Genomic DNA, 23,587 nt, shown 5'->3' with positions numbered 1-23,587 from the left:
AGATGAGAAGGGCTATGGAAAAGCATGAAGGAGAGAAAAGAGATAGGGAGTTCTGCGGTGCAGAGAGGTTGCAATTTTAAATAAGGTGGACCGGAGAAAGCCTTCCTGAGAAAGGTGATATTTGAGCAAAGACTTGAAGGAAGGGAGGGAGATAACAGAGATCTATGTGGATAGCTAGTGTAAACAGCATTGCAGAGAGAATAATGGATACCTTTCTCTCCAGCTGGAGAGACATAAGCAAGGCAGGTGAGGTCAGAGAGGTAAGATTGGAAGCAGGTAGTTGTAGATCTGGAGTCTCTCTATAAGGGCATTGACTTCTGCTCTGAGATAGGGGGCCATTTGGAAGGCTTTCAGTGGAGGAGAAATATATTCTGACAACATTTTGTGCAGGGTCACTCTGGCTGCTGTGTTGAGAACAAGCTGGGATGAAGGCAGACAGGGCAGGGAGACCAATAAGCCAGAGGCTATTGCACTTATCGGGCAGGTGGTAATAGTAGAGGCCTCCAGAAGTGGTCAGATTCTGAGTGCATTGTGACACACACACACACACACACACACACACACACACAACTCTGGTATATATTTTGAGTTTAAAGTCAGCATAAATGTCTGATCATTTCTTGATTAGAAAGAAATAACTGTCACTAGTTGTGAACTTCTCAACATTGTGAAATTGAGTTTTCAAATGTTTGGAAGCCATGAATCTTTGCCTTAAAATAAGTAAATCTGAGTCATGGGAAAGACTGTAGAGGTAAGGGACCCCAAAATGAAATATATACTTTCATAAAGTTAGCTATGAATATATATATATATATGTTATAGAACTATCTGCATTTCTCATAATGTTTAAGAAAGTGGCGTTAAAGCATTATTGTTAACAGCCATTTTAATGAGCGAAAGTTGTACAAAGAAACTCGGATTTTCAGCTGAACCTTGTCAACAGTAGAGAAGGAGCTGTGGCAGACCCAAACCTCCCTGTGGTCTGCTTCCTTCATTTTCATCCCTGACCTCAGCCTTTGGGCAGTGGGTTTGCCTGGCTGTGGTCATCTGAGCCACACTCTTCTCTCTGTGTGCCCTGATACTTTCTGCATCCATGCCTTTGCGTAGACTGTGAGTTCTACCTGAAGTGCCCAGTTCTCCTCCACTGCTATCATCCTTCAGAACTCAGCTGAAGGGACACCTCTTCTGTTAGGGTTGGATGCTTCTCCTATTGGTTCCACTACACACAGGGACCTCGGCCTACTTTCAGTACTTCTCAGTGTTAATAGAGTTCTGTATTGTCTTTCCCTGTAGACTGTGAATTCTTTGTAGCCCCAGTGCTGGAATAATATTGTCTGGCACACAGTAAGTACTTAGTATGTGCTGCCAAATTCATGTTTAGTTGGAAGAGCCCATAATAGCTAATTACTTTATGTTAGATGCATTTGCAATGACCAGTTAAGGTTCCTTTCTGTGGTAATAAGAATGGCAACCATTTATGTGGTTAGGGTTCTCCAGAGAAACAGAACCAATAGAATACATACACACATAGACACAGACACACACACACACACACACACACACACACACACACACACACACAGTATATGTGAGGAGATTTGTTGTGGGAATTAGCTATTGTGATTGTGGAAGCTGAGAGATCCCAGTTTTGCCATCTGCAAGATGGAGAACGAAGAAAGCCAGTGGTGTGATTCATTCCAGATCTGAAGGCCCAAGAACCAGGAGCATCAATGACCAATGGCAGGAGAAGACAAATGTCTCAGTTTAAGCAGAAAGAGCAAATTTGTGCTTCCTCTACCTTTTTATTCCATTTGGGCCCTCAATAGATTGCACAATGCCCCCCGACATTGGTGGGGGTGATCTTTACTCAGTCTACTGAGTCAAATGCTAATCCCTTCCAAAAACCCCTTCACAGACACACCCAGAAATGTTTTACCAGCTATCTGGGCATCCCTTAGCCCAATCAAGTTGACACAGAAACTTAACCATCATGATTTATTATGATTGTCCAGCCTCCCCAGTACTGTGTAAGACACATGGCAAATATCTCATTCAGGCCTCCAACAACCTCTAAGGAAGGTGTGTTTTATCCCTATTTTATAGGTAGGAAACTAAGGTGCAGAAGAGCAAGGAAGTAATAGAAATAAACCTTTATGCATCCTTAGAGATAACCAATATTGATAATGTAATAAACCTAAAGACACTATTGCCCTTTGGTATGTATAGGTAAGTATTCTGTAAACTGTAACTTGTAAAAACCTGCCACAAGCTGGCCTATAATAATGCAAACTCGGATAACAGGGTGGGTGACTGCCTCAATCCCCTGCCAGGTCCCTTTTCTCAATGGAAAAGTCGATGTTCTCATCTTGAGGGTATCAGGGCAGGATTAGAACCTGAACATCTGGTCATCATTTGCAACTCCATCAGCTCAGCATTCAGTCAGTTGTATAAGTTTTACTTTCTTCACTTGCGTGTCTTTTGTGACAGCACAGACTGACTGAAATATATTATTTTTCATTAACCTCCTATTCACAACTCCACATTTTACACAATTGATTTTTTTATCCCACCTAGCATGTTATCAATTCTGTGAACAATGAGAAGGTATTTAGAAGAAACCCATTATTGTCTCTCAGATAGGCAGTCTCTTCATTCCAGACATTTTGTAGAGGAGCTTTGAGTGAAATCTTAACATAACTAAAAATGCCAGCATGTATGAACTATTTAGCAGATTCACCTAATTTCTGTTAGTTGAAAAGGCAAAGGCTCTGTATTTATTAATTATAGGGAGATCTTCAGATGTCTTCTCAACATGCTATGGTAAATGCTTCTGATTTTCTTTGGATGAACAGTAAAATTCAAGAAACGAAGACAAGAAATAGAACCTGCAATGTTTTTTAAATAGAAAAATAAAGGGTTACACTAGACCACTAAGTTAAAGAGAAATCAAAAGGCTAGTGCTTTATTTGGTTGTTTTAATCATTTCATGGGTTTGCCCAGGTTGGTAAGGAGGTTTTAAAGTCTTGAAGTCTACAGATGCATGCCAGTGAGATGCAACTTCCTGCAGGTTAGGCAGCTGCAGAATGAGGTGCAAAGCTTCTTACCAGATATAGATGTAGGAGAAGGTTCTGTGTGCTACACAAACTAGATTGTTGGGTGGTGTAGTGGAAAGAACACAGAATTTAGAGTCAGAATAACAAAGGAAAGCAGCCATGGAGGGCTTCCGTTATTAAGCACCTGCTCTGCGCTAGGCTTGCCACCCACATCTTCTCATTTAATCTTCATAACAGTCCTGGGAGTCAGTTATTAGCCTGAGTGATGGGATGAGGAAAGAGACTCAAAGGGGTTGAGTCATCTGCTTAAGCTAGATCTGCGAAGCTACTGCGACAGAGATAAGATTTAAGACCAGGATTGTCTGGTTGAAGCCCTCTGTTCCTTCCATGGCGTCTGATGCCTGGAACCTGGCTCTGTCATTGGTCATTGTTTTGTGTGCTTGTGTGTGTGTGTTTATATTTTATATGCTTATGTTTGCTTATATATGTTTGTATATGTATTTGCTTATATTAATATAGTATATAATAAATGTATATGTTTATATAGAATATTTATACTATATACAAATCTATAATATATAATAGATATCACATAATATAGAATGTGTGTTATGTGTAATGTATACCACTTTGTATATTGTATACAATATTTAGATATGTAAATGTATTTGTATAGTTTTTAAAATATGATGCAGAATGTTTATTTGATTTTAAATTGCCAAAATTCATGAGAATTGAAGGTTTTATTCAGTTTAATTTGAATTTTCTAATGAAAAACTTTTTAACTTTAAGGTCAGGGGTACACATGCACGTTTGTTATACAGGAAACCTTGTGTCATGGGGGTTTGTTGTGCAGATTATTTCATCACCCAGGTATTAAACCTGGTACCTATTAGTTATTTTTCCTAATACTCTACCTCCTTCTGCCCTCCACCGTCTGATAGACCCCACTGTGTGTTGTTCCCCTCCCTGTGTCCATGTGTTCTCATCATTTAGTTTCCTACTTGTAAGTGAGAACATGTGGTATTTGGTTTTCTGTCCCTGTGTTAGTTTGCTGAGGCTAATGGCCTCTAGCTCCATCCATGTCCCTGCAAAGGACAAGATCTCATTCTTTTTTACGACTGCAGAGTATTCCATTGTGTATACGTACTACATTTTCTTTATCCAGTCTACCATAGGTGGGTATTTAGGTTGATTCCATGTCTTTGCTATTGTGAATAGTGCTGCAGTGAACATACATGTGCATGTGTCTTTAGAATAGAAGATTTATATTGCTTTGGGTATATACCCAGTAATGGGATTGCTAGATTGAATGATGTTTCTGTCTTTAGGTCTTTGAGGAATCACCACAGTATTTTCTACAGTGGGTGAACTAATTTACACTCCCACCAACAGTGCTTAAGTGTTCATTTTTCCCCATAACCTCACTAGTGTCTGTTATTTTTTAACTTTTTATTAATAGCCATTCTGACTGGTGTGAGATGGTATCTCTTTGAAGAAAAACTTTTTTATTGTTAAAAATGTTAATAAAGAATTCTCTTAGGTTAAGAAATTAACTATTAAATAATAAAATAGTTTCTTTCCAAAGCCAAATCTATCCTTCCTAATATGCAACTCAATAGTGGACAAAATTGTATCCGTTTTTTATGTGACATTTTAACTGGAATGGGATTGCCAGATAGTAAACATCTCCACTAATCAAGGGTTTATTTATTTATTTGCTTCCCCTAGTCTTTATCTTACTTACCTAATTTTTAATGAAAAACTCTTTTTAAGAACTTCTCCTACCATATAAGATACACATGTGGAAAAAAAGTGCCTCCATTGTGGGAAAAAAAATAGAAGATATAGATAAACAAGGAAACAAAGGCACACAGTCAGCTGCCGCAGTGCCAGGACAGAGCCCAGCTCTTCAGATTTCCAGGTCTATCTGTTAAGATTCTGGCAACGGCATGGGGAGGAAAATGGCAGATAATAGGCAGGACTAAATTGCACCTCCCACTCAGATGGACAGAGCAGCTTGTGGAGACTCACATTGTGAACTTGTGCTCCAAGAACTACTGCAGGAACATACCAGGAAAGCCAAGAGAATCTACAGACCCTTTGAAGGAAGCAGATTGCTCCTGCAGGCCCCGGTAGACAGCCAAAAAACTGTGAGTGCCTGAAGTGTGAAAGTGTGAAAGGGGGATCATCCACCCCTGAACACACACCATCACTGGGGAACCTGAAGGTCCAGATCACAAGAGAAGTATTTGACCTTACTTGGAGCTGAGAAAATTTTAGAGAGCTGAGCAAAATACAGGGGTAGAAGTAGCAGTGGGAAGAGCCCTATGGGCTCTTGGTCCCCAGGGAAGCCATTTCTTAGTTTGTCTCAGAGAGTAAGACAAAGTAAAGTACTCTTGGGGAGTGCTGCCAGAGGAACTGGAAAAGACCACAGGAAGAAGGAAACTTCCAGCTGAACTTTGTAACAATTTTGACCAAACATGAAGTTTCCTGGACAGAAGTCAGGGGAGGGGGTGAATAGGGAGTGCAGACACAGCACGAAGCCACAGCAGGCGGGGAGGCACAAAACCTGAAAACCCTGTTTGCTTTCTCAGCCTGGGGTAGGTTTCCAGCCCTGCTCACCGGCTGGCTGAAAATAAACTTGGTGCTTTTGTGGGGGCACGGTAGGAGCGAGACTGATTTTGGGGATTGTGTAGGAGCTGGGTGAGGCCTGTAACTGCCGGCTTTCCCCCACTTCCCTGGCGACCTTCATGACACAGCAGAGGCAGCCATAATCCTTCTGGGAAAATAACTCCATTAGCCTGAGATCCATACCCTCATCCTCTGCAACAGCACAGCAAGCCGCACCCGAAAAGAGTCTGAGCTCAGACACACCTAACCATGCTTACACCTGATGGTCTTTCTCTGCCTGCCCTGGTAGCTGAAGACAAAGGACACAATCTCTTGGCAGCTCTAGGGCCCTGCCCACCACCTGATCCTCCCTATACTATGGCAGCTGACACTGTCTTGAAATTGCCACCTCCTGGCAGGAGGCCAACCAATACAAAACTAGTGCAATAAACAAAACTACAACTAAGGACCCTCACAGAGTCCATTTCACTCCCCTGCCACCTCCACTGGAGCAGGTGCTGGTATCTAAAGCTGAGACCTGAAGACAGTTCACATCACAGGACTCTTTGCAGACACCCCCAGTACCAGCCCAGAGCCCAGTAGCTCCACTGGGTGGCTAGATCCAGAAGAGAAATAATAATCACTGCAGTTCAGCTCTCAGGAAGTCCCATCCCTAGGGGAAGGGAGAGAGCACTACCTCAAGGGAGCACCCTGTGGGACAAAAGAATCTGAAGAGCAGCCCTTGAGCCCCAGATCTTCCCTCTGACATAGTGTACTCAAATAGAAGGAACCAGAAAAACAATCCTGGTAATATGACAAAACAAGGTTCTTTAACACTCCCAAAAGATCACACTAGCTCACCAGCAGTGGATGCAAACCAAGAAGAAATCCCTAAATTGCCAGAAAAAGAATTCAGAAGGTCAATCATTAAGTTAATCAAAGAGGCAGCAGAGAAAGATGAAGTCCAACTCAATGAAATTTTGAAAAAGATACAAGATAGGAAGGGAAAAATCTTCAGTGAAATAGATAGCATTAAAAATCATAACTTCTGGAAAGGAAGGACACACTTAGAGAAATGCAAAATGCACTGGAAAGTCTCAGCAGTAGAGTCGAACAAACTAAGAACTTCAGAACTCAAAGACAAGGTTTTCAAATTAAGCCAATTCAACAAAGACAAAGAAAAAAGAATTTTTTAAAAAAATGAACAAAGCCTCCAAGAAGTTTGGGATTATGTTAACCAAACCTAGGAATAATTGGTGTTCCTGAAGGAGAAGAGAAATCTAAAAGTTTGGAAAACATATTTGAGGGGATAATCAAGGAAAACTTCCCCGGCCTTGCTAGAGATTTAGACATCTAAATACAAGAAGCTCAAAGAACACCTGGGAAATTTTATCACAAAAAGATCACCTAGGCACATTGTCATCAAGTTATCTAAAGTCAAAACTTAAGAAAGAATCTTAAGAGCTGTGAGGTGAAAGCACCAGGTAACCTATAAAAGAAAACCTATCAGATTAACAACAGATTTCTCAGCAGAAACCCTACAATCTAGAATAGATCAGGGCCCTATCTTCAGCCTTCTTAGAACAATTATCAGCCAAGAATTTTGTATCTAGAGAAACTAAGCTTCATAAGTGAAGGAAAGATGCAGTCTTTTTTCAGACAAATGCTGAGAGAGCTCACCACTACCAAGCCAGCACTATAAGAACTGCTAAAAGAAGCTCTAAATCTTGAAACAAATCCTTGAAATACACCAAAATAGAACCTCCTTAAAGCATAAATCTCACAGAACCTCTAAAACAAAAATACAATAAATAAACAAATAAACAACAAGATATTCAGGCATCAAATAACATGAATAGAATAGTACCTCACATCTCAATACTAGCATTGAGTGTAAATGGCCTAAATACTCCACTTAAAAGATACAGAATGGCAGAATGGATAAGAATTCCCCAACCAAGTATCTGCTGTTTTCAGGAAACTCACCTAACACATAAGAACTCACGTCTGGGCGCAGTGGCTCATACCTGTAATCCCAGCATTTTGGGAGGCCAAAGCAGGTGGATCACTTGAGGTCAGAAGTTCGAGACCAGACTGACCAACATAGCGAAACTGCATCTGTACTAAAAACACAAAAAATTAGCTGGGCATGGTGGTGCACACCTGTAATCCCAGCTATTCTGGAGGGTGAGGCAGGAGAATCACTTGAACCTGGGAGGCAGAGGTTGCAGTGAACTGATATCGTGCCACTGCACTCCAGCCTGAAGGACAGAGCAAGACTGTGTCTCAAACACACACACACACACACACGCACACACACATACACACACAAGAACTCACCATAAACTTAAAGTGGTGGAAGATATTCCATGCAAATGGACACCAAAAGCAAACAGGAGTAGCTATTCTTACATAAGACAAAACAAACTTTAAAGCAATAGCAGTGAAAAAGAACAAAGAGGGACATTATATAATGATAAAAGGACTTGTCCAACAGGAAAATATCACAATTCTAAATATATATGCACCTAACACTGAAGTTCCCAAATTTATAAAACTGTTACTACTAGACCTAAGAAATGAGATACATGGCAACACAATTAATATTGGAGGACTTCAATACTCCTCTGACAGAACTAGACAGGTCTTCAAGGCAAAAGGTCAACAAAGAAACAATGGATTTAAACTATACCCTGGAACAAATGCACTTAACAGATATTTACGGAACATTCTACCCAACAACTGCAGAATATACATTCTGTTGACCAGCACATGGAACATTCTCCAAGATAGACCATATGATAGGCCATAAAACAAGTCTCAATAAATTTAAGAAAACTGAAGTTTTATCAAGTACTGTCTCAGACAACAGTGGAATAAAATTGGAAATCAACTCCAAAAGAAGCCCTCAAAACCATGCAAATACATGGAAATTAAATAACTTGCTCCTGAATGATCATTGGGTCAACAATGAAATCAAGATGGATATTAAAAAATTCTTTGAACTGAATGATAATAGTGACACAACCTATCAAAACCTCTGGGATACAGCAAAGACAGTGCTAAAAGGAAAATTCACAGCCTTAAATGCCTACATCAAAAAGTCTGAAAGCACAAATAGACAATGTAAGTTCACACCTAAAGGAACTAGAGAAACAAGAGCAAGCCAAACCCAGACCCCGCACAAGAAAAGAAATAACAGAAATCAGAGCAGAACTAAATAAAATTGAAACAAAGAAAATACAAAAGATAAATGAAACTAAAACCTGATTATTTGAAAAGATAAATAAAATTGATAGACCATTAGCAAGATTAACAAAGAAGAGAGAAGACCCAAATAAGCTCAATTAGAAACAAAACAGGAGCTATTACAACGGATACCACAGAAAGACAAAAGATTATTCAAGGCTACTAGGAATACCTCTACATGCATAAACTAGAAAACCTAGAGGAGATGGATAAATTCCTGGAAATATACAACCCTCCTAGATTAAACCAGGAAGAAATATAAACTCTGAACCAGACCAATAACAAACAGTGAGAATGAAATGGTAATTTTGAAATTGCCAATAAAAAAAGTCCAGGATTCACAGCTGAATTCTATCAGACATTCAAAGAACTGGTACCAATCCTATTGACACTATTCCACAAGATAGAGAAAGAGGGAATTCTTCCTAAATCATTCTGTGAAGCCGGTATCACCCTAATACCAAAGCCAGGAAAGGACGTAACAAAAAAAAGAAAATTACAGACCAATATCCCTGATGAATATAGATGCAAAAATCCTTAACAAAATACTAGCTAACCAAACCCAAAAGCATATCAAAAAAAAATCCACCATAATCAATTGGGTTTCATACCAGGGATGCAGGGATGGTTTAACATCTGCAAGTCAATAAATGTGACACACCACATAACAGAGTTAAAAACAAAAATCATATGTTCGTCTCAATAGATGCAGGAAAAGCATTTGACAAAATCCAGCATCTATTTATGATTAAAAGCCTCAGCAAAATCGGCATAGAAGGGACGTATCTTAAGATAATAAAAGCCATCTATGACAAACCCACAGCCAACCTAATACTGAAAGAGGAAAAGTTGAAAGCATTCCTGCTAAGAATCAGAACAAGACAAGGATGCCCACTCTAACTACTTCTATTCAACATGGTGCTGGGAGACCTAGCCAGAGCAATCAGATAAGAGAAAGAAATAAAGGGCATCCAAATTGGTAAAGAGGAAGTCAAACTGTTGCTGTTTGCCAATGATATGATCATATACCTAGAGAACCCTCAAGACTCCTCCAACAAGCTCCTAGACCTGATAAATGAATTCAGCAGAGTCTCAGGACACAAAATTAAAGAACACAAATGAGTAGTTCTGCTATACACCAACAGTGACCAAGCTGAGAATCAAATCAAGAACTCAACCCCTTTTGCAATAGCTGCAAAAAATAATAATAATAAAATACTGAGGAATATACCTAACCAAGGAGGTAAAAGACTTCTACAAGGAAAACTATGAAACACTGCTGAAAGAAATCATAGATGACACAAACAAATAAACATGTCCCATGCTCATGGATGAGTAGAATCAATATTGTGAAAATGACCATGCTGCCAAAAGCAATCTACAAATTCAACGCGATTTCCATCCAAATACCACCATCATTCTTCACATGTGATGTTTGGTTTTCCAAACAGTAAATGCTGCTGTTTAGGAAAGCTCTTTGAAACAAAGATCTAAGTTTCTCTTTATTATCAAACCTCCTTGTAAATAGTAAATGATCACAGAATTAACCCCATTCTAATCTGACTTTTTAGGCTAATTAGTTTGAGGTCTTGGCACTGGTGGCTGGATTAACAGTTGTTATCAGGGATATCAGAAATGTTCCTTAGAAAGCCATAAGGTTCATCGAGCACAGATAAAGCAGGCCTTCCTCTACCACCTGGTAACCTAGGCAGTGACAGCAACTTATGGGACACATGGAACAATTATCCTTACCCTGAGACATACAAGAGTTTGGGCCATGTCTGCCTCTTCATCCTAACCTATATTTATGGGCCTGGGAATGTTCTAGAGGCTGGTAGAGCTAGGATCAAATTCTGACTACATTTATTTGCTATATGCTCTTGGACAAATAATGTAATCTCTCTGTATCTAAATTCCCCCATCTGTAAAATGGGAATAATAATAGCAATGAAATAGGATTGTCATAAGGAATAAATAAAATAGGGCATAAAGTCCCTGGCACTTTGTAATGGTAGCCATCATAGTTATTATTATTTGAGGAGCAAAATCATGCATAGGAAATTATGAGTTCTTTTCACTTCCCAGGTTGATAGACTATGTGGTTTTTGTAGAGTTGATTTTTGTAAGATTACATTAATAATAAATAGCTTTAAATATTTTGTTCTATAGTTATATTTGGAAGCTTTTGTCAATATCAGCACTGGGAACTAGGATGTCAAAAAACTTAATAAGGAATAACCCAGGCTAGATGAGATAACATGTCTCCCCATGACCTTCATTCTTACTTGTACTTACCACCTACAGCTACAATTGAAAAGGGGTCTCAAGACTGAGATCTGATGTTCCTGATGGCTTCCATTGGTGCCACAAGAGATGGGAAGGGGTGTGGAGGCTGTGGACTTGTGAGACGGAATGATATTTCACAGAGTGCTGAGGATTTTACTGGGGTATATATTTCAGAGCTCTCTAAATGCAGGCTATTCTCTGAATGCCTGTCTTGAGGCAGACCCATCTAACACAGAAGATAATCACCAAGGACCAATAATTGTGGGATGTTCTCCAATGTGGGGGCACTGTGGTAGACAGAATGATGGCCCCGAAAGATGTCCACATCCTCATCATTGGAACCTGTGAATATTTTATGTTACATAGCAAAGGGAATTAAGATTGCAGATAAAATTAAGGTTGCTAATCAGCTGACCTTGAGATGGGCAGAGCACCCTGTATTATCCAGATGGGTCTAATCATCACAAGGGTCCTTAAGGCAGAAGAGGAGAGTGGAGTGATTCTGTGGAAAAAGGTCTCAACTTGCTGTTGCTGGTTTTGAAGATAGAGGACAGAGGCCACAGGCCAAGAAATGTGGGTAACCCCTAGAAGCTGGGAAAGGCAAGGAAATGGATTTTCCCCCAGAGCCTGAAGGCAAGTATCAGCCCTGCAGAGACTTTGCTTTTAGCTCAGTGAGATCCATGTAAGATTCTGACCTACAGGAGTTTAAAGTAATAAGTTTGTGTAGTTTAAGTCTCTAAGTTTGTGGTTATTTATTGTGGTAGCAATTTTAAAAAGCTAATATCTGCATTGTTGACATTTTGGACAGCACGGTTCTGTGTTTTGTGAGACTACCCAGTGCATTTTAGGGCCGTTAGTATTGCTGGGTTCTGACCACTTATGTGAATGCCAGCACTTCTCCCCATAACCCACCACCACTCCCCACCCAACCCACTCACACATTTCCTCCTGCACCACAAGGGAGCTGTGTTCCACTCCTGGTTGAGAACAGTCTCCAGAGCAAGGGTGAGCCTCTCTTTCTCTTTTTCTTCTCCTGGTTTTGGAGTTCAAGGACTCAGACCTGAAGACCCAAATTACATATGCTTTTCCCTCTTATTCTCTTCTTCTTTCAAGCTATGAAGAATAACTATACCGTATAAGATATAAATACAATTTAGCCAAATACCTGATCAGATCTTATCTTCAAATTACCAGGCCAAGTGCCGAGGGAGCAAGAATATTTATAAAACCTTCTGTTCTCCAACAGAGACAGGCTGATGAAATATAGCACTCATTCACTTATTCATTCAGTACTATGTACTGAATAGTACTATGTACTTTTATATACATAACACTATATTAGGGGCTATGGTCACAGAAAAATGAAAAAGACCTGATCTCTGCACCAAAGGCACTTCAGTTTAACAAAGAAGAAATTCTTGCAGGAATAACTATCATATGAGCTAGAATATGGTGGAGGCCATGAAAGAGAAGGTTCAGGGTTGTGTATCTGTGTGTGAAGATATCGTAGGATGCACAGGAGAGGAAACTATTATTTCAAGCTGACAGAAACAGAAAATGTCGGAGGCAGGCGGATACTTTGAGCCTGGGAATTTGAGGGCTGCAGTGAGCAATGATGGATGGCGCCACTGCAGAGGGAGACCCTGTCTCAAAAAAGAAAAATGTGTATTTCAAACAGTCAACAGCATTTGAACTAGAACTTAAAGGGGAAGTAGGAATTCTACAGGTAGAGGAGAACAAAGATTGAGCATAGGCATGCAGGTACGGAAATGTTTTGCGATTTGAGGAAATTGGTCCCAATCTACTGCTTATATTCTGTGAAGGCAGCAGGGAGGAGCACTGGAGCATCTGGGCTGTGCAATTTCACCCAGCTCTGGGGTTGAATCCTGACTCTGTTGCTTACTAGCAGTGTGATATTGGGAATGACTTCCATGCTCTGAGCCTCAGTGTTCTCATCTATAAGACAAAGATAAGAAGAGCCTGGTGGGATCGCAAAATAAAATATATTGGGGGATGTAGAGTAGTGGAAGATAAGGAGTAACAGACTGTTGGCAATGAACAACTGAGATCATAATTTACTTCAAAAGTTGTTGGGTATCTGGTGTGTCCACACTAGGGCCTGAGGAGGCAACAATGACTTAGAAAGAGCCTCCACATCCAAGGAGCTTCCAATGTGGCCAAGGAGATAGATGTGGGAATTAAAACATTAAAAATACAGTAAGAAATGTACAGGAATAGAAAGAAGGTCAAGATACAAAAGGGCTGCTGAGATGGCAGTGGATGAGAAGGAAAAGTCCCAGAAGTCTTGCTAGAGGAAGAACTATCAGAACTAGCAGCGGGTTTAAGAATAATTTTATAGGGTGACAAGACAGAGAAAAACATTTCCAGGCAGAGAGGAGCAGCACGGTATTGTTGATAGGCTGCAGACAGCATGGAACAGCTGGAATACCAAGTGCAGGCTGGGGCAAGGAGTACTTAAATATAAGGCTTCACAGGAGGAAGAGATCATTCTGATGGGCTTCTCATGCCATTCCAGGGAGCTGACCCTCCAGTCTATAGGTCTTGGGGCCAGTGCTTCACTGGGGAAGAATGGGGCAATTTAGAAAGCTCCCATGGACTGAAGTAGAGAATGAATGGGAGAGCTCCAAGACTAGAGGCTAGAAGACCTCTAAGGGGCTATGATGGAAGTTCAAGAACACTTGGTCCAGGGAGCAAACATAGGGGTGGAAAGAAGGAAGGAGCTGAAGCAGTAATTGGGAGGTAGAACTACCAGGATGCAATGACCAGTCAGACCTGGGCAATAAGAATGAAAGTGTTCGGGACAATATCAGGCCTCTGGTTGGGCAATGGAATCATTAACCAAGATAGGAAATGTGGGAGAAAGGATGGACCTGGGTGGGAAGGTAGAAAGGATAAATCACAGTGCATTCAGTTTCGAATACTTTTTATTTTGAGACACCTGAAGAAAATACAAGGGGAAATAACCAGGTTGCAGAAGGCATGGCTTTGGCAAGCTCTCTGTCATGATTTTAGCAACTTCTTTCTTTCGTTATGATCCTTAACTCAAGGTTTTATTTTCTCTTTTTATGTGATAAATCATTGAGGTTGTGTTTTTAAATGTCCAGAAAATCGAGTTACTTCTTTTTAATAATGGCATCTAGATTTATGAGTATCTTAGCTGAAAGAACAGATCCCAGTTATACAAATATTAAAAGTACCTGATCTTTATTAATTTGTACTGAGTGTTTTGTTTTAAATATTTCAAGAAAAGTAAGAATTATTGTTTGTGTAGCTCTGATAATGTACACATAAATAGCACTTGTCATGGTGGGAACACTGTGCTTTAGAAAAGATAAAATGTCTTAGACAAAGAACAGAGTCCCACTTAGGAAGCAGTTTACCATCTGAAATCATGAAAGGCACCAAGTACTATAACCTCAGGGAAAGGACAAGATGTCCTGCATTGAAAAAAACATAATGGTTTTAGTAGCCCTTTAGACAGGGGAAAAAAAAGCTGCTAGTCAAGAGAAAGTGCTATTTTGTTACCAGTACATGCTGTTCCCATGAGTTATTGGAAATAAAGAAATATATACTCTCTACACTGCTGGGCTTTCTAAACTCTGCACTAAAAATACCTTATAGTTGCACAAACAGACAGAACTAGAAAATTATTTTTATTTTCTTGAGATATTAAAGGGAGCTTGCACCGATCCTTAGTGTCTATATTCCACAGTTTCCCTACACTTCTCCCACATTCAATTGAGGAAATAAAAACAAGATCCTCTCTACTTTATTTTAAAATAATGATTTTTTTAAAACAGTGTCTCACTTTGTTTCCCAGGCTGGAGTGCAGTGGTGCAATCACAACTCACTGCAGCCTCAACCTCCCAGGCTCAGGTGATCCTTCCACCTCAGCCTCTTGAGTAGCTGGGACTACAAGTGCATGCCACCATGCCTGGCTAATTTTTGTATTTTTTTGTGGAGATGAGGTCTCCCCATGTTGCCCACGCTGATCTCAACTCCTGGGCTCAAGCGATCCTCTTGCCTTGGCCTCTCAAAGTGCTGGGATTACAGATGTGAGCCACTGTGCCTGGCCAATAATAAAAATGAGTAAGATGTATCATTGAAATGCTCCAAAGGAGAGCATCATATTACTTATAAAATATTTTATAAAAGCTAACCTCTGATTATTTGCATACCATATGCTCTTTACATATACTAACTCATATCATTACCTTCACTTTTAATGAATGAGAACACGGGCCGGGTGCAGTGGCATACCCCTGTAATCCCAGCACTTTGGAAGGCCGAGGTGGGTGAGGTGCTTCAGCCAAGGAGTTCAGGACCACATGGAGTCTGGGCAACATGGAAAAACCCTGTGTCTACATATATATATATGTGAATGCACTATGTACATACACATACACACACACACAAATTAACCAGGCATGGTGGCGCGTACCAGCTACTTGAGGGCTGAGGTGGGCAGATCACTTGAGCTCAGGAGGTCAGGCTGCAGTGAGCCATGATCATGCCACTGTACTCCAGCCTGGGTGACAGAGCGAAACCCTGTCTCAAACAACAACAACAAATAAGGAAACTGAAACCTGTGGGGTTAAATGATTCACCCGACGTCTCTTAGCTAGTGTGTTGCATTACAGGCAATACATATCTACTTTTGCCTGATTCTAAAGCCTGTTTCCATAGAGAATTCTACCACCAATGCATTTCAATTGAAGTCTATTAGGTTTAGATCAATCATGATAAACTTCCTTTCTCACGATGGCATAAACACCCACCCAGTTACCCAGGCCAGAAACCTGAGCATCCCAGCTGCCAGCCCCTCACCCTCGCCCCCACATCTGAAGTGCTAGCAGTCTTCAGTTCTGCCTTCTCAGCACCTCTCAAAGTCATCAGTTTCTTCTCATCTCCACTGCCACCAGTGAGCGTAAACCGCCTACTTTTTCCTTGGACAATAACAACACTTCTAAACAATCTCCCATGCATTCCCCTTTATCCAGGGCCATGCCTTGCAAAACTCACCTCAGATAGATGGTGTCATTCCCCTGTCTACTGCTTCTCACCGGCTTTCCTCAAGAGCAGGCGGATCTTACTGGTAAGAGTGAGGGCCTGCAGTATCAACAGCCACACAGCAGGCAGCCTTGAAATTCTATGAGGAAGAGGAGGTATCCTTAGAATCAGCAAACCTGGTGTTACAAGGCGTATTTGTTTTCTAGGGCTGCCGAAACAAACTACCACAAACGGGCAGTTTAGAACCACAGAAATTTATTCTGTCATAGTCCTGTAGGCTAGAAGTCTGACATCAAGGTATTGGCAGAGCCATGCTCACTCTGAAGGCTCTAGGGACCCTTCCTTGCCTCTTCCTAGCTTCTGGGAGTTGCTGGCAATCCGTGGCATTCCTTGGCTTGCAGCTGTATCACCCCCAGTCTCTGCCTCTATCATCATATGGCCTTCATCTCTGTGTGTCTGTCCTCTGTGTCAAATCTCTCTTCTCACTCTCCTTATAAGGACACCAGTCATTGGATTTAGGCCCACCCAGATCCAGTATGACCTCATCTCAACTTCATTACATCTTCAAAGACTCTGTGCCAAATAAGGTCATATTCACAGGTACTGTGGATTAGGACTTCAACATATCTTTTGGGGAGACACAATTCAACCTGCTTCACCAGATTTGCCTGATAACTTTGCACTTTCAAACCTTGGATTTCTCATTTATACAACAGGAATGCTAATATCCAATTTTCAGGGTTACTGTGAACATCAGACTTCATGTGTGTCATGTGTTCCTCACAGCGCCTGCCTCACAGATACCATGCTGTAAATGGCAGCTGCTTTACAGCCAGACTTTTTTCTTTAAAAATTTATTTGTAAGCTAACTTCTATTCTAAATGCACCAATGAAACTTACCATTTAAAGAAACCCTGCATCAAAGCCGTTGTGAAACAAAGAAAAATAATCTTCCTAATTTATGTTTTGATTCTGACTCCTACATGCTGAGTGTCTTTATAGCAGGATATACAGACTATCACAAAACAAACCAAAATCCAAACTCAGATTTTAGGTTTATCCAAGGGTGTTAATCTATGCGTGATGTGACTTCAGACTAAGCTGGCAGAGAAACTGATTGAGGAAACCCATCCATGTTCCCTACACGGTCATGACCATTTCAAGGCGAGGCACCACAGTGCTCAGGATGGCAGGTGCAGCTAAGAGCAGCTTTGCCATCTCTTTTGCTTTCGTCCATCCACCTGCTTATTAGAAGGAGAGACAGGATATTGGAAGGGAAATCAATTCCTCTTTGCAAATTCAGATCTGCACCCTGGTGCCCTGCTGCCATCAGGCTTGTTACTAGCAGCTTCAGTGTCTTGCAGTTGGTCTCAGCAGCCCTGGGATTCCTGTGATAGCAGCAACCATGGTGCCAGGCATATGCATGCTTAGTTTAATCAGTGCTATTAGGCAATGTTTGGGCAGACTCCATTACAGAGAGTGGCAGACGCACTTAATGAGGGAGAAAGCATCATTGCAGAAACAGGAGGGCACAGTAAAGCAGTTTCTCACACTCAAAAGCTGGAGTTGACCCCTGCTCTCTGACAGCCTGACCCCCTGCAGGACGTGGACCCAGGGCCTTTACTGCTGTTCTGATCCATTCCCAGGTCCCCAGGAGCCTATTCTGTTGACAAGTCAGGAGGCATCTTCTGTCACTACCGTTCACAGTTGACAGATTGCGGAAGGGGGCAGGCTCTGCTGGTGGGGGGACTGCAACAGAAAAGACCTGTGGCTATGCATTGTGCTCTCTCCCATGATCTGTATAGAGACTACCCCTGAGCTAGGGTTTATTTGAAGCGATCGGAAGGCTTCTGCTCTAGAACTTTGTGGGAACTGGGACCTCAGCACAAAGATCAGCTTCAGGGACACACAGACATGGACTCTTATTCCTCTCATGGCACTCACTAGCTGTGCAGCCTTGAGCAAGTCTCCTGACCTCTCTGAGCCTCTTTTTCCTAATCTGTAAAATGTGGGTAGCAGCCCCTCACTTGCAGGGTGTCAGGAGAATTAAAGTTCTGTCTTTCCCTTTCCTATTCCAGGAAATGAGCCAGTATGTTGGGCAGTTAGCCATTTACCTATTTTGCAGGTGATAAATGCAGAGCGTATCTTAGCTCAGAAACCTATTTTCTTTCACAGTTATAAAGATCAACTGACGTTTTGTTTAGCATATGCTATGTAGCATTCCTGCATTCATTTTATAGGGACAGTATTTGGTATTAGTGATCTAAAACCAGTTAGACATGGAATATACACATAACACATACACACACGTGCACACACAAAACAGCTCATGGGGCAGTGAATGAAACCAAGGAGCAATTGTGAGTATATAACATAAATTTTGATAAAAGATATTCAGAAAATGGGCATTAAATCAAATTGAGAGGTGGTAGGGGACAGGGTGCTTTTTGAAAACAGGTGTTACTTTTCAAAAGAGAAGGGGAAAGAACATTCCAGGCACAGGTAACAACATGCACCAAGATGAGGAGGCCTGCAATGGAACTCCAGGTTTAGGGACTACAAGCATCTCAGTGTACTCTGCGGAAAATTAAAGCACACTCCTTCGTCTCTGTCCAAGGGCTTGTAAATTAGTTGAGGAGATGTGTGCGTGCCTTGGAGGGTAACTAACACCGGGCATGGTGATCATTTCAAACTGACAGAACAGAGATAAATGTAAGTAGGAGTAAGAGCTGAAAGCAACAAGTATTTGAGTCCACTTGTGTGCCAGGAACTACCCTGTCCTCCTCAGAACATGCGGTCCAGTGTTGCGCTATCCAATACACATGGCTACTCAGCCCTTGAAATGTGTCTAGTCTGAATTGAAATGTGTTGTATTAACACACACTCTGGTTTTCAGAAAGCTGATGCTGAAAAAAGTAAATATCTCATATCTCATTACTAATTCTTCTATTGATTACATGTTGAAACAATAATAATGTGGCTATATTCGATTATGTTAAATATGTCTTTAAAATTATTTTTACCTGTTTCTTGTTACTTTTATAATGTGGTTACTAGAATTTTCACAATGACATGTGCAGTTCACATTTTATTTCTGTTGGACAGCAGTTGTCTAGAGATCAAAAGATCTTGGCCAGGAATAGCAGAGAAGGACATGGAGCTTGAACACTACTGTAAAGAATGAGTAAGGCTCAGGTGCACATAAAGGTGAAGGATTTGCCAGAAGAAAGAGAATATGGTGGAATGTGCAATGTCTATTTAGGTGGTCTGGATGGAGCAGGTGAAAAGCTCTCGGATGTGTTTTGATAAAACAACATATTTTCAGGAATCTACACTCACATAGGTTGATAGGCTTCCTGAGGGTCAGTAGACAGACTTGCCCATTATTGGCAGCAACGATGGAAAATTACAACAGAGGGATCCCTAATCTGTCATTTTTGATGGTTTTTTGTCAAGGGCTGCCTTTGAGAAAACCAAAATCCCAACCATGATTAAAGTTTTGAAAAAACTCAGAGGATTGATTATTCCTGTCACACCCTTTATTTGGACTTCCTTAACCCAATGACTTCTTGGAACTGTAAATGTAAATGTGTTCAAGGAAGATATGCTCCACATTGATACTCTGCAGCAAGAAATATTGAGCTGAATTGGTCCAACATTGTATTTTTCATTCTTGCTTTTAAAATACTTAGAAGAAGGATATCCCTGGACGTGATGATTTTACAATAAATTCTGACATTTCTTTAACCATCCAAAAGATGATAAAGCAAGACCCTGCATGGATATGATGCTGGGGACTTTATCTAGTAGTTTATGCAGAGATGTCAATGATATTTAGGGATTCATACTCTACAACAACAATGTGGTTAAGGACTGGTCATTAGAGGTGTCGGTTAAATAACAAATATGCAAAAATATGTTAATATGGGAATAGATAAGTCATGGGTGAATTAACTTGTATCGGATGAGGAAGAATCACAAAAAAAAAAAAGGTCATTTAAGTCTAAGTGCTGGTAATGGCAAGATTTTTTACCGTGTTTCTCTTAACCAGCAAGCCCATAGACTCACACAGGTGAAGTTTCTCACAAGAGCAAAAAGCAATAAATCCTATATGCAAGGCCTGTAAGTATTTCAAACACTAGCTCTTGTAGCAGCAACACTAGCTGGCAGGCTCTGGTGTACTAGCCATACCCCACTGGGCCAGAATTACTGGATGTCCGAGCTCAGACAGACATGAGTTATGAGCCATTTATTAGTATGTTGCCTTAAAAAAATTACAAAACCTCTCCAAGCCTCAGCTTCCTTGTCTGTAAAATGGGGTCATAACACTACCTGTCTCATAAAAGTTTCATGAGGGTTAAATAAGATAACCTATAAAGTGCTTTGCCCAGTGTCCAAGGTTTGAAAGCTGGGGGTGTTGGTTGTGCTAAAAGTTCTAGAATACACTTTCCTTTCATAAGAGGAAAAATGGAGTCTCCGAATCAGGAAGCAGCCTTTTCAGAATGATTTGCTTTCACTCCAAGGCTTCTAAATCATCCAGTTACTAATACAGTGCTTTCCCTGTTACTGCACAGGAAAGCACGAGACATCTGAAGTAGAATTCCCTCAATCTTTCTCTTTACTTAGCTGCTCCCTCACCTGTCCCCCTCCTCAAAATGACAGCAGTCCTTCCCAATTTTCCCTTTCTTGCCCTCCCTCCTATATTTTGAGAACTTTCTCACTTCTGAAGTATCTGGATGGAAAACACTTTAAATTATTTCCAGAGAAATGTCTGTTTTCATTGGTGCCCTGAATCACAACTGACCTGTGGTGCCCGTTAAAAGAAGGATTAAAGTACAAGAATAAATATAAATGCACTGAGACATAAGAGTTAAGTTGTCACTTAGAGCCTCCCGCCCCTTCACCCATACCTGCTTATATGAATGAGTCACTTCTAAAAATAGTGTCATCCTTAAAAGAAATGTTAGAGCAGTCATTACTCAGACAGCAGCTTCCTCCACCTGCTTCCCTAGGGCAGGAACTGGGATATGTAGAGACACAGGCACTGAGCTGGTCCGGAAGGGACAACAGGCAGAGAAATCCTGTGCGGCAGAGGAAAACGTTCAGACCTGCATCTTTCATCCGTTTGCTTTCTCTTTCTTTTGCATCTGGGAGAATTCCAGCTTGTCAAGTGGCCAGTCTATTTGTATTCAAAAAAGTCTTGGTCCCCTCGTAAGTCTCTCCCTGTTCACCTTAAAAATGAGGGTACTGTCCAGTAGTTTTAGGCTTTGATGGTAATAGAGGTCAGCACCTGAGCTCTTGCCCAGCTGCTCTTCTGATGGTATTCATGAGAAACTCTCAAGCATGTTTAAAATCCTGACCCTTGTGGGCCCTGGATTTCACTTGTACCATTCCAAGTGTGTCTGTGCCTCTTCAGGAAATCAGCTCACTTAAGAGCTCACTTTTCATCACAGCTCTGCCAGTTAACACAGACCCACCTGGTCTGAAAATCAGGCATGTCATCAGTGTTAAAAATACAGTCTGCAGCCCTAGTCGTCAGGTTAAATGGCACTAAGGGAGTTAATATAAGCACTATGTAAGTTTTACCCATGATTGTTATTAGTATTATTATAAAGGATAAGCGTTTGAGTTTTACCTTCACAGCCCTGAATTCAGTTCCTAGCCTTTTCACCTTAGGAAGGTTAGGGACCCAGCAGAAAACATGCAGCACACTCAAAAAAATAATTGAAGAGAATTTAATGAAAGGACTATTTCCAAAGACATAAGTAAATGTATTTGTTCCTCAGGGCTGCCATAACAAAGTACCACAAACTGAACGGCTTAAAACAGAAATTTATTTTCTTACAGTTCTGAAGCCTAGAAGCCTGAAATCAAGGTGCTGGAAGGGTGATGCTACCTCTGAAACCTGTAAGGGAATCAATCCTTCCTCACCTCTTCTTAGCTTCTGGTGTTCACCAAGAGTCTTGGGCATTCCGTGGCTTACAGCTGCATAATTGGAATCTCTGCCTTCATTCCCTCTGTGTGTCTCTCTGTCTTCCACCACCATCTTCTTCTAAGGACTCGACTCATATTGGACTAGGACCTCCCTACCCCTTATCTTAACTAATTACATCTGCAACAATCCTGTTTCCAAATAAGATTGCATCCTAAAGTACTGGGGGTTAGGATTTCAGCATAGCTTTTTTGAGAGGACACAATTCAACTTGTAAACAGTAGAGTTCCAGGAAACCAGCAAGGGTCTACAAAGCACTTGTGTACGTTCGTTGCGTGAAGGTTCAAGGGAGAGAGGGAAACTGGAACCCTCTGATACCTGTGGCTGTAGAAACGGGCTGCTGGACAGTGGCCTTGGGGAGAGAAACCAGCCCTTGGCCTTTTACATCTAGACAGAAGGGAGCTAAGAAAATCAGTATTCCGAGCTCTCTCTCCTCCCAACCTCTGGTCTCCTGGGTCTCCCACTGGTATCTCCCATTGATTGAGTCCAATAGGAAGCCCCAGGGCAGGATATCATTGATTCAACACCTAAATGTTGGCCTCCTGGAGCATACAGCAGAGTGAAGAGAGTGAAGATTTGATATGGAGGGGCAAACAGAGAACAATTAACCTAACCTGTTAACTTATCCGAGTGTCAGTTTTCCTGGCTGTAAACTGGGGATAATAGCAGTGCCTGCCTCATAGGCTTTTTAACTTGGTGCTCAGGACATAGTAATAATAAATGTTAGCTATTGTTTTATTATGGTTCTGATCATCTTCAAATGAGCCAGCTTCCCCACCACTACCTTATGAACTTGGCACAAGTGAGGGGTACAGGTATCATTTTTGTGAATGGATACAAACACATAAACAGGCATTAGCTATTGTTTTATTATGGTTCTGATCATCTTCAAATGAGCCAGCTTCCCCACCACCACTTATCAACCTGGTAAATGTGAGGGGTAGAGATATCACCTTTGTGAATGGATACAAATACGTAAATAGGCATTTTTCCCAGGAATGTGTTCTGATATTTTGAGTCATCAACCCAAGTGAAAGTTCTTTAATACTTGTGACCTCTACTTGCCAGAGGGCAGCTTGGGCAAAGGCTGAGGTAATTTCCATAATGGAGGTAGGAGCAGTCCAGTGCCTGATGTACATTGTTTGGGGGATGCTATGGTTTGTGGCCTTGGGAACTCACAGTCTAGCAGGACACAGATAACTCTCACTACAAGCAGGAATCAGGGACATTTTAAGACTCATAAGAAGTTCTCCAGCCTGGGCAACATAGTGAGACCTCATCTCTACAGAAATTTTTTTTTAATTAGCTGGGTGTGGTGGTGCAGGCCTGTAGTCCTAGCTACTGGGGAGGATAAAGTGGGAGA

At 41.1% G+C, this 23,587-nt stretch overlaps 1 protein-coding gene across 5 annotated transcripts in view, besides 1 other annotated feature; it reads left to right on the top strand.

The window, feature by feature from the left end:
• The window catches only part of SLC24A2 (solute carrier family 24 member 2), an 800,438-nt gene that overhangs the window by 626,472 nt on the left and 150,379 nt on the right, over positions 1-23,587 (top strand). The window lies entirely within an intron of this gene.
• Positions 15,858-16,127: an enhancer, noted in NCBI's record as "active region_28224". NCBI's record gives its function as "activates an Ori minimal core promoter by ATAC-STARR-seq in GM12878 lymphoblastoid cells {active_cell/tissue: GM12878}" and the evidence as "EXISTENCE:reporter gene assay evidence [ECO:0000049][PMID:35858748]".

The sequence above is a fragment of the Homo sapiens genome, chromosome 9, assembly GCF_000001405.40.
Source record: "Homo sapiens chromosome 9, GRCh38.p14 Primary Assembly".
Classification (NCBI taxonomy): Eukaryota; Metazoa; Chordata; class Mammalia; order Primates; family Hominidae; genus Homo; species Homo sapiens.
The sequence above is the reverse complement of the archived record's forward strand: the minus strand, read 5'-3'. Positions and strand labels throughout refer to the sequence as shown.